The sequence below is a fragment of the Homo sapiens genome, chromosome 7 (assembly GCF_000001405.40).
Source record: "Homo sapiens chromosome 7, GRCh38.p14 Primary Assembly".
NCBI lineage: Eukaryota > Metazoa > Chordata > Mammalia > Primates > Hominidae > Homo > Homo sapiens.
Window position 1 is genome coordinate 53,336,738 of NC_000007.14, and position 12,619 is coordinate 53,349,356.

At 34.3% G+C, this 12,619-nt stretch overlaps 1 long non-coding RNA gene across 3 annotated transcripts in view; it reads right to left on the reverse strand.

Annotated features, from left to right (window-relative positions):
- Positions 1-11,286: 11,286 nt before the first annotated feature.
- LOC105375282 (uncharacterized) overlaps positions 11,287-12,619 on the reverse strand; it is a 70,883-nt gene continuing 69,550 nt past the window's right edge. For all 3 annotated transcript variants that reach the window (XR_927269.3, XR_927268.3, XR_927267.3), the window contains one exon: positions 11,287-11,509. This is a non-coding gene — a long non-coding RNA (uncharacterized LOC105375282). The remainder of the gene's footprint in view (positions 11,510-12,619) is intronic.

The following is a 12,619-nucleotide window of genomic DNA, read 5'->3' on the forward strand; positions in this document are numbered from 1 at the left end:
GTAAACTTGGTCAGTGGTCATCTTACGCAGGGGGTTACAGAACAGAATTGTGCCTGCTTGCCCAATTTTATCTTTACTTCTTGCAACTCCTGGTCATTTTCCCATGAGTGTTCTGGACACACTCAAGTTTTGTGAAAGAACTATGTGAAAGGAAAATATATCCTGGGGCCCCAAAATTACTAAGGTGAAGGGAAAAGTCAAGCTGGGAGCTGCTTAGGGCAAACCTGCCTCCTATTCTATTCAAAGTCATCCTTCTGCTCACCAAGATAAATGCATAATTGCCTGCTTTGGAGAAACTAATCAGAAACTCAAAGAATGCAACTGCTTATCTCTCACCTACCTGTGACCTGGAAGCCCCTGCCCTGCTTGGAGTTGTTCCGCCTTTCCAGACAGAATCAATGTACCTCTTACATATACTGGTTGAAGTCTCATGTGTCCCTAAAATGTATAAAACCAAGCTGTGTCCTGACCACTTTGGATACATGTTGTCAGGACCTGCTGAGGCTGTGTCATGGACATGCCTCCTCAACATCGGCAAAATAAACTTTCTAGAAGAACTGAGACCTGTCCCAGATATTGAGGGTTCATATTTTGACAACCATGACAGGATTCTGAGGGGAGGTGCCCCTGACCTTTGACAAATCTCATATCTATGCATGGTACCAGCTTGAGCTATCTTTATGGCTCAAACCAATAAGATAATTTGCTAAGGCCTGGAGGCAACCCCTCCAGAGAATCTCTGATCTCCCCAAATTTTATTGATATCTAAAGTTTATTTTGCTATACAACTCCTTTTTTTTGGAGATTTAGTTGCTTCCAACACAAGAAAGACAATTTTCCTGCCTCCATGACGATGTTGTTGTTTTGTTGTTGTTGTTTTGTTTTGTTTTTGTTTTTGTTTTTGTTTTCCTGTTTCTCAGGTGGTAGAGAGTAGTCTTCAGCCTAAGACCTAAGCCTAGGTAAGAATTGGGGTTTGTCTTGGCTAAAGTTAAGATTAACAACCAGCTGGTCTTCATTTCTCCTTACGATTAGAGTGCTCAGTAACCGTAGAACTTGTGCGATTGTTTGTTTGTTTTGCTTAACTGTTTGTTGTTGTTTGTTTCTGATTTTGTGGTTGTTTCAGTCTTTTTCCCATTGGGTTTGACCAATTCTGTTCGATTCAATCAAATCTGAAGGAAAGTTCCAAATAATGGGGAAGAAGGCCTCTGAAGTGGCTAAATTCCCACCACATGCACACACAAAAGGTGGTGTGGTGGGGGGAGAAAAACAACAGCAAAAGGGAAAAAAATAAAAACAATTTTCGATTTTGACTATTTAAGAGGCTTTATTTATGTAACAAGGCCAGCTTTTTACCTTTTTGCTAGCCATGTCAAACTGAAAGAGCAACAACTATCACCCCACGCTGCATTTCCCTACCTAAAGTTCTGCCTTCCTTTTTTTTTCATCGTGACAGCCTGGGTTTGATTCCTAAATTAAGCCCTTTCTGGTTTCATATTGATAACCCTGAAATAGCAGCAATTTGTCCTAGCTGACATATGGTAATGAGATAAAACATTTTTTTAGAGAAGCTCAATGGTTAAAACTCAGATTAATTAAAAGCTAACATCCAAAATGTGTGTCTATGTGTGCATGTTTGGATTTAAAAGGCCTTTATGTTTTTGTTTTTGTTTTTTTCTCCTAGGACTTTGTCTTTTTTGAGCAAATTTTTTTTTCTTCTCAGTTGACTAAATTCCATTTTCTTCAATTACTTCTGCTGTCTTTCCTTTCTCTTGCACCCTCTGCTGCATGAGGGAACTAAAATAGTTTAAAGTAGCCTGAGATTTCTTAAAGAAAATGGAGAAGGTGCCAGACTCCCTTTAAGGGACAAATCTCTGTTATTTCTTATGGGACCCCAAGAGTATAAGCAGAAAAGTTCATCTCAGCACTTAAACTGCTTGATTTTGTATTGTGTTACCTGAATTTTTGACTAAAACTGTTATTGTAACAGAGGCTACTCTTGGATTTTTAAGGGAGAGTGTAGTTTAGACACTTAGAAATGTCTTTGTTTAAAAAAAATTTTTAAGTGCACCGTAAAAGCACCACATGGTCTAGCCTCATAATAATTCTTCCCTTTTGGAGACCTAGGATTCAGTGTGGGCTCTGCCCAGAGCTCAGAGATCCAGTTAAAAGATAGGTAGTCCCAATCTAAATAAATTGATCTCATTGTATACTCCTATGATAGATTTCTAATAATTTTATGCTTGATTTGGTATCCATCTTTAATCTCCCTCTAGCATCACTACACTTTTTCTCTCTGTAATCTTGAGAGATGCAAATTTTGCTATTTGATTTTTCACCTAAGAGTTGTTGCCTTCAATATGCAGATTTAGGGCTATTAGCTGACAACTGCCAGGGTAATGAAACAAGTTATCAAGAGTTCACTAGTCTAAGATCAGGAAAAAAAAAAAGGTCTTATGAATCTGTAAGATGTACTTCTATCAGCATGCCTAAAACATCTATGTATTTATGTGTTGTGTACACAATGTTTCACTACTAAAACTATATAAAAGAGTTCTAATTAATTGGCTTGAAGGAAAATAAAAACACTTAAATCAAATACTTTCTCAGAGAAAAGGAAAGACTAGTCAAATGCTTTTCCAAGTTTATGTAATCTAAGTAAAATCTTTAATAAATAAGCTAGCTTTAAAATTATTGGTAAACTAATATTAGTGATCTATTAAGTATTGTCAGCATACATTTTTATTTGCATTTATTAATTAAGCAATTTCATACTTATCCCTGCCAAATACCATAGGTGTCAAAATTTGGCATAGGGGTTACAAAACTATAAAACCCAGTCCCAAACATAATGATCTTTGCTTGTGTAATTTTTGATAAATAATATATTGATATTGGTTTAATAAAAATAGCTAAATCTAAAAAAAAAATAGCTAAATCTTGGATTATTTAATAAAATAATCATAACTTCTAATCTTGTGGCTTTAGACAGCCTAGTCCCCAGTCAGGAAGCGGGTTTGTTTTGGGAAAGGACTGTTATCTTCTTTGTTTCAAAGTTAAACTACAATTTCTTCCCAAAGTTAGTTTGGTCTACACCTAGGAAGTAACAAGGAGAGCTTGGAGGTTACAAGCAAGATGGGGTCAGTTAGTTCAAATCTTTTTCACTGACTCAGTTACAAGTTTACAGTGGTGGTTTCATAACTTTAACGATTATCACAGTTTTCATAAATAATCTAGGTAAATAATTAAAATAATTTGGTAAATGTATTGAGTAAATACTTGTAGACAAACTTTTCATAATTTAGAATCTAAAGTTATGTTAAATTAAATAATAGATATTTCATTATTGGAGTATTTTCCAATAAAAGTATATGGTAGGAAAACATTCTTTCTGAAAACAAAGCATCCTTTTTAAAAAGATAAATAATTTTTGTCTACTTCAAAGCTTATTTAAAGGTTGTATATAAAACAAGGTAAAAGTAACCAGGAAATAAGAGATATATAAAAACGGTTATAAAAATAAAGGGGTATTTTTTGGTAAAAAGCTTAAACAGAAATAATTTTATGTGAGAAAGAATCTTATATGGGAATTAGTCTTAGAATAAAATTACTGGTTGTTTAAGAAGGAGGGATGGTTGGGTCAAACCACAAAGTCCAAGCATATAATGAATGGTCTGTGTAAGTCACAATAAAGGGAGTTATTAAAAACAACCAAAGTTGTTCTATAATCAAGTTGTCTATAATTAAATGGAAATTATAGTGGTCTTTCTAGAAATTGGATTTAATGTAAAAAAATTCACTTATAAATTAAATAATTGGTTAGAAAAATAAAATTTTCTTAAGGGATTGATTTACTCTTAATAAATTATAACAGGTTTAATGTTTTATTGAAATAATTTCTATGCCATTATTATAAAGTTTTGGTTTCCTTAGGAAAAAATTAGATTAATTTTTTTTCTTTAGGTTATTACACTCATGTAACTTTCTGTGTGTGCTTTTAAAGTCCTTGTCCCATTAAGTTACAGGGTTTTGATGCCTGGGTCTAAAAGGACACCAAGTACTGCTAATCTTTACACTGATAGCAGTCAAAGCCTCATCTTCAGTCCCTATAGCAGATGCCAATCCAAGTAAACTGTGTTTCTGAGACATAGTACCAGAAATTAAAGCTATTTAACTCCTCAAGGTCTTGGGACAATTGTGGAAGAGATGGGTGCATGAGATTGTAAGGACCGATTTTGAGACATAAGTAAGTTCAGTTTCTCTATAAATTAGCCATTAATGTGAAACGCACAATGATGCAAAACCAACATATGGGCCCCTGTGTCAGAATAACAAGGTTTTCTTGAAGCATTAACCAACTCCTTAATAAAAGTTAAAAAAGACTTACAGAAATTATCTCTTACGGTCAAGTTAATTAAAATTGTGTATATTGTTATATAATTTTGAAAAACAAATTTAATTGGCTTTATGCTGTTCTTATTGGGGCTTATTGTTTGGAAAATTAAGTCCCCTCTCAAAAAAAGAGTGTTTTTGCCTTTTCATGAAATCTTTGAGTTATCACTTTGGTTGAATGTATGACTTATTTCACAATAACCTGCAATTCTATTTTGTGATATCAAGTGTTATAAACCTTTGATATTTGACAAACTTTCCAAAATCAAATTACAAGTTATGTCTTTTTCTGGCCTAATTGATCATTTAAGATATTAGTTTATCTAAAGTCCAAAAATTATATATTTGGCTTATTTGTTATAAAAATTATAAAGGAAGCATTGCCAAATAGGAAATGGTGTTTGACTTTCTTTGAACTGTATTTGTATAAATATGTTATTGGTATGTGTTCCAAAATTATGGGAAACTCCTGCAATTCTGATATGACTTAGTGTACGTTATCAGTAATACTTATAATTGTTATGTTAAATTATTGCATGCCACATAGGTAACAAATTTCCTTGTCAATTGTGTCTTTGGCAATGGTTGTCCTGAAACTTTTTGCTGGACAAACAATTGTCATCTACAGACAATTGTTGCCTTGTTTTGGTCTTCTTTAGAAGGTGGTTTTATGATCAGCTATAAATTCTAACAGGTGTTCTTGAATGCAGGGTTCTGATAACTTTGGAGATTGTAAAATCAGAATAAAAAAAATTTTCAAGACTCTCATGGAGAGTTGGAAAGTCTGTGAATAACATGAAGAACAAGAGTTAACTGCATGGACTGAACTAATTAAAGACTAAAGTAATCTTTTGAGTTTTTTGCTTAAGACATTGCTAATTCTTTGTTTTGTTTTTCAGAGTCAAGAAAACTTTTGAGCTACTTACCGCATGTAGCAATTGAGTAAAATATACTCCTGTGAACAGAATTTGGAGCATATTTGTTTCTCTCTACCTGATTTGTCCAGAATTTGTTAACTATTTGTGAGTATTCTTAACTTATGGCAATATAGTTATTTGCGTAAGTGCCAATAAGAATGTTTTCTTTTGCAACAGAACACCATTGGAGAAACTGGTCATTTTCTAAGGCTTTAACTGGATTGATGTGCTTTCCTTTAAGGAATCAAACTTGGCTTACAGAGTCAATAAAAGCTCCTTGGGAAAACTGGCCTCATACCATGTCTGCACAGTCTATGTACAGGGTTCCTGACCTGTGGTAAGCAAAGAATGTCACTTTCTGACAGGTCCAGGAGCCCCAGGTTATCTTGGGACCTCAAGAGGAGAGGAATTTAGCCAACTCATAGGCATTTAATGGTACAAAGCCATGGCTGGCCTCAGCTTTAAAAAAGTCTTATCTGAGATTCCTTCTATGGAACAAAGTTCCATGAAAGCCAATTTAAAAAGCTTACATAAAACATAATTCTTCTTACCTCATTTTATACAAATAATCAGGCCAAGTGTAATAAAGCAAATCAGTCCTACCATGATTTGTCTTAGTAAAAATGGGAAACTGGAGAGAGAAAAATTCTGTTTCAAAAACTGTAATACACCTGCTGTTAAATTCTAGTCTTGCCTAATGTTTCACAATTTTTATTATTTTCTACAGTTTGGATTGAATTTTAATTTTTCCTGGCTACAAGTCTCCAAAATAATGTTTTCAATTTTTTTCTTCTTTCTTTTCCTTTTCCCATCATTTTTCCTAGTTTGAAATTACTGAAAACTAAGCTGTACTTTCTTAAAGCCCTGCAAACTGAAGCTAGACAACTTCAACTTCAGAAGAAAATAACAAAAACCTATCTATATACATAAGCCACTTTCCTACCTGCCTACTGCTATATTATGGACTTCAGAGTAATGTGGACTATATTGATTTTCCAGGATTGTTCCTTTTGATTGTTGTTTTTCTCCCCTCCTTCCCCTATTTTCTCTTTGTAGGTCATGAGACTTACAACATGCTAAAAGTGAGCTTTCCTGATAACTTGGGGACCTACCCATCTAAATATAAACCATCCTAGCCATGAGAGATCACATGAAGCCTCAGACAAGAGACTCATTTTATTCTAAAATGCTTTCTCCAAAAAAATTTTAAAAATAAAGAGGGGGAAATGTGAAAGGAAAATAAATCTTGGGGCCTCATAACCACTAAGCTAAGGGGAAAAGTCAAGCTGGGAACTGCTTAGGGCAAACCTGCCTCCCATTCTATTCAAAGTCACCCCTCTGATTACTGAGATAAATGTATATCTGATTGCCTCCTTTGGAGAGGCTAATCAGCAACTCAGAAGAATGCAACTCTTTGTCTCTTGCCTACCTGTGATCTGGAAACCAGTCCTTGCTTCAAGTTGTCCAGCCTTTCCAGATGGAACCAATGTATATCTTACATATATTGATTGATGTCTCATGTCCCCCTAAAATGCATAAAACCAAGCTATGCTCTGACCACCTTGGGCACATGTCATCAGGACTTCCTGAGGCTGTGTCATGGCTGCACATTCTCAACCTTGGCAAAATAAACTTTCTAAATTATCTGAGACCTGTCTCAAATATTTGGAGTTCACAGCTACTTTCTCTCATTTTATCAGGCCTCTAATGAGGCTGAAACAATGTGTCCTCTTAGAGCAAATAATTGCTTCTTTGGTCTCATCTAAGATACATTCCTTCAACTCTCATCCAGCTCCCGGGACCACTCACTCTGGGAAGTCCAGGCACACTCCTGCTCAGGGCCTTTGCACTGCTGTGGCCATTTCTGCCTGAGAGCTCCACTCCTGCATTTCCTTTAGATCTTTACTCAACATTGCCTTCTCAGTGAGAACTTTCCAGTTTGCTCCACTGAAAACTGTGATCCTTCCCCTCAGGACACAACATGAAGTGTCCTGCTATATTTCTCATGTAGTATTTATTTTCAAGTAAACCATACTTATAGCAACATATGTATTTTTTATTGACTATTGTATTTCCAGCACCTACAATGCTTGGTGCATAGTGCATAATAATGTTTGTGAATAATAAATGTTTGTGAGTTTGAATGTCTCTATGCCTTTGCACATCCCTTTGTCTGTAACATCCCATCCTCCTTTCTTTGTCTGGGTACGTCCTATTCCTTCCTTAAAATATCAGCTCAGTTGTAACCTGTTTTAAGAAGCTTTTCCTGCCCTCCAGGTCTCAGTTTTGTAAAGGATTTCAAGGACACCCATTGTCCTGAACTTGTGTCATTACTCATTATAATTGTCCTTTAACCTGCCTCCTTCAGCACTAGACTTGGAGCTCCTTTGAGTCAATGAGTGGCTTTATTGCTGTTTCTCTAATACAGTGCTGCAATCCTGAATAAATTATTAATTACACACATCCCATGTTAGAAAACTCATTACATTTAGAGCCAAACCATTTCATCATTAGATGATTCTAAAGATATCTCATATTTGGTCAAAGCTTAGATTAGTTCTTCAACTTTCCCTTTCCTTATATAATAAGTTTCCTGAACTCATCACCACACTGTCCATCATGAGCACTTGTAATTCACTCTGACTATGTGCTTTCATTCTGTGAAATTTTAAAAAATATTTTTCTTAAATAGGGTACAAAGAACAAAATAGCTTGGATGAGGTTTAGTTTTGTCAGCTCATGGAAGTGTAGGTAGATCCTTTATTCTTTCCATACATGACAGAATGAGTCTATGATGTCCTAAAACTGTTGACAGCTTTTTTGAAATTCATATTTTGATCTGAAATGTATATACTAACTACCAACTTCTCTCAGTCTTATTTTATTTTTTGGAATTTTTTCAAATTTATATCACAGGCATGTTTTATAATCATATTTCCATATATGCTTTCAAGACAGAATATGACAGTTCAGCTACTACTACTTTTACATATATTAATTAAATTTTAAAAGTATAGTCATTTTACTAGTTGTCAACACCAACTTATTGAAAATCTATTATATTTTCCCCTTTGACCAGGGTCTTCAGACTATGCTGAATATTCTGCAACGTGGGTGACAATTGACATTGGCAGAGCTTGTAAATCTTGCTAGTTATCGAGAGACTGGAGAGGATCATTCAGAAGCCGACAAATCAATCAGACAGAGCAGGCAAATTTTCTGAAATTTCTCTTCATTTTTGGTCATGAGTTCATGAGAAATATTTTCATAATTAACTGCCAATATTTGCTTTTTCTTACAACAGTAGCAAGAAGGACATTTAAGTTATTTTCTGTAAATATTTCTTACTTTTCCATTTTCCAATGATAGGAATTGAACAATTGCTTATTTTATTTAGTCTTGATTTTTCTTTTTGTTTATTCATTACAGCTATATTGAGGTTTAAATTACATGCCACAAAATTTGCTCATTGTAAGTGGAAAATTTAATGATATTTAGTAAATTTATATAGCGGTGCTGGAATCACCATAATCCATGATTACAAAATTACTATATCCCCCTAAAACTTTCCCCAAGTCCATTTCCAGTCAATCTCAGTTCTCTCATCCAGACCCAGGAATCCACCGTTTTCTATTCTTGTAATATGCCTTTTCTGGATATGTAATGTAAATGGAATAATATAATATGTAGACTTTTGCATTTTCTTTCTTTTACTTAGCACAGATTGGGGCAAACTATGGGTTGTGGGCATGCTGTCTCTTTTTGTAAAGTTTTCATGGTACACGCCATGCTCATGTGTTTATGCATTGTCTATGGCTGCTTTTGTGGAACAATAGAATTGAGTTATTGACAGAGACAATAGGACCTGAAAAGCCTAAAGCATTTACTATTTGGCCCTTTAAGAAAAAAGTTTTCCAATGCCTGGCTTAGTATAGTTTAGCTTTATCCATGTCATGGACTATGTCAGCAGTTCATTCATGTCATTTATCATGATTACCATTTCACTGCATAGATATACCACATTTTGTTGGTTCATTCATCAGTTGATAGACATTTGGAACGTTGCCATTTTTGGCTATTACGAATAATTCTGCAGTATGTGCTTATGTCCAAGTCCTCGTGTGGATACACATATTCTACTGAGTAGATTTCTAGGAGAAAAATTGTAGGAATCTATGATAAGCTCATAGTTTACTTTTTAAGAAACTGCCAAAATGATTAATGATGTTGAACACCTTTTTATGTGCTTATTAACCATGCATATGTCTTCTTTGTTAAAAAAAACCCTTTTGTCCATTTTAATATAGAGTTGTCTGTTACTGAGATATAAGAGTTCTTAATACATTTAAGCTGCAAGTATTTTATCAGATATACGATTTGGAAATGTTTTTGCCTGGTCTGTAACTGGTCTTTTTATTTTCTGAATGGTATCTTTGGAAGTACAAAATGTTTTAATTTTATTGAAATATAATTTATTTTTTCTTTTTCTTTTATAGATTGTGTGTTTGCTGTCACGTCTAAAACTCTTTGTTTAACTCAAGGTCATATAGATTTTCTCCTGTGTTTTCTTTTAGAAGCTTTCTATTATTGGATTTTACATTTAGGTCTGTAATGCATTTTGAGTTCTTTTCTGTGTATGGCATGAGGAGGTAAGGATGAAGCTTTTCCTCCATCCCCTCCTCCTCATCCTCCTTCTCCTTCTTCTTCTTATTTTTTTATGTAGATATTAAATTGTCTTGCCACCATTTGGTAAAAAGACAATCTTTTCCAAACTGAATTGAATTGGCAGTTTTTTCGGAAAGCAATTGACCATGAATGTAGGGGTAAATTTCTTGACTCTGACACTGTTTCACTGATCTAACCTATTCCTTTATGTATATCATAATGTCTTGATTACAACCTTATAGTAATTTTTTAAATTAGGCAATATGAGTCCTACAACTTTGTTCATTTTTTTGAAAACGGTTCAAGCTTCAAGTACTTTCATTTCTGTATAAATTTGTTGGATCAACATTTAATTTCTACAAAAAAAGCTCACAGCGACTTTGAAATGGATTCTGTTGAAATTGACAGATAAATTAAGGTAGAAATGGTATTTTAACATATTGTGACTTCCAACCATAAATATAGAATGTGTCTTGATTCATTTAGATTTTTAATTTCTCTCATCATTATTTTGTAGTTTTCAGCATACAAGTGTTACACTTCTTTTGTTAAATTTATTCTTAAGTATTTTATTGTCTTTGATACTATTGTGACTGGGTTTTATTTATTTTTATATGTTCATTTTGTATTCTGTGATCTGGCAAACTTGTTTGTTAGCTCTAGTTGGCTTTTTGGTGCTTTTATTTGCTTTATTTTTTAATATGTATTATGATAAATTTATACTGGATTTATCATTGGACTTTCTAATATCTGGATTTCCCTGCATATTTATTATAAACAGTTTGAGGCTAGCTTCCTATACCACTGGTCCTAGCTATAAAGGATACTTGGACATACTGAATCTTTTCATTTATTTCAGCAAGAAATAAGAGAACATCATGAAAAAAGGACTTTTTTTGTTCATGTATGTTTATTGCGGCACCATTCACAATAGCAAAGACTTAGAACCAACTCAAAAGTCCATCAACGATAGCCTGGATTAAGAAAATGTGGCACATATACACCATGGAATACTATGCAGCCATAAAAAGGATTAGTTCGTGTCCTACTTTGTAGGGACATGGATGAAGCTGGAAACCATCATTCTGAGCAAACCATCACAAGGACAGAAAACCAAACACTGCATGTTGTCACTCATAGGTGGGAACTGAACAATAAGACTTGGACACAGGGTGAGGGACATCACACCCCAGGGCCTGTCATGGGGTGGGGGAAGTGGGAGGGATAGCATTAGGAGATACACCTAATGTAAATGACGAGTTAATGAGTGCAGCACACCAACATGGCACATGTATACATATGTAACAAACCTGCATGTTGTGTACATGTACCCTAGAACTTAAAGTATAATATAAAAAAATCTTATTTTCTTAAGCCATCAACTATGCACTGAGTATCCTTTCCTTTTTGTCCCATTTTTTAAAATTGCTCTTATTATTTAAGTTGCTCTGTCTCCTTCATTGGCTCTATTTGGTTGAATCCTCTTCATATTCTGTTTCTCTTCTTATTTCCCTTCAGGTGTTCTTTTAAATCTCTTTCTATTTAAAAAAAAAAAAAGAAAGAAAAGCAAAATAAAGTCAGATTTGAATAAGGAATAGTGATATCTTTCAAGTGCTTTTGTCCATGTATTGTTTTATAGTTTTTAGCTTGCTTTCACACATATTATCTGATTTGATTCTTACATAAACCATACGGCAGAAAGCAAGGCATGCCTACTTATTCCCCAACCCAAAGAAAGGCAGGAAAAGACTCAGTAGACAGTGCTCTTGAGAGCTTGGCAAAACCTGGGTAGAAATCAGCACTCTTTCACCTCTATCCAGAGTTCACTCCAGGTATCACAGAGTCCTCACTGGGGTGCAGCACATGAAACTGTGTTCTGTCCTAGGATGTGGAAAACTGTCTCTCTGGCTGATACTTTCCTTCCTGATGAGAGTTGCAACTCACACTTCATCATCTGGAGTAATTATTCACAAATCAAAATTGAAATCAATGGTTGAGTCACGCATCCACTGCTGTCATTCCACAGTGAAAAAAGTTAACAGTTCTGTTATTGACCATAAAAAAGTACCAACTTTTGGAAAGTACCATGGAATCTCCATAAAAATTCTCCTTGACTTTATAAAGGTTTATGCATTTATTTTTATAAGAGTCAAGTTTAGAAAACAGGCAATGCTTCTAATTTATATTCAACATAATCATCTGTTATCTATTTAAGCTAGATAATGAAAATGAGATAAAGGAAATAGGCACCAATTTATACTAGCTATTAACTTTCCCAGGGGTATGCTATTAGAACTAAAAAAAGGTTTGTTGAGGTTGTCCTTCAGTTTAATTTCACTCCGTAATATCACTAATGACCCCATTAAGGACATTAAAAGTTTCCTTTTCTGATCAATCTTTAGAATATTGAACTCCATAAAGTATCTACTGACTAACCAGCTAAATAAATCAAGGTCACCTTTAAGATGGCATCCTAAAGCTAATTGTGGGTATAAGACTCGTTATATAAATATCATACAGAAGGAGTTATCTCCCTCAGCACCAAGATTACACCAAGCAAATTACTTCACTTGCCTGTTCAACAATCTTCTCAGAGGGCAAGTTTAGCCTACAAAACTTATATTAAATAGGAAAAAAGAGTTGAGGTT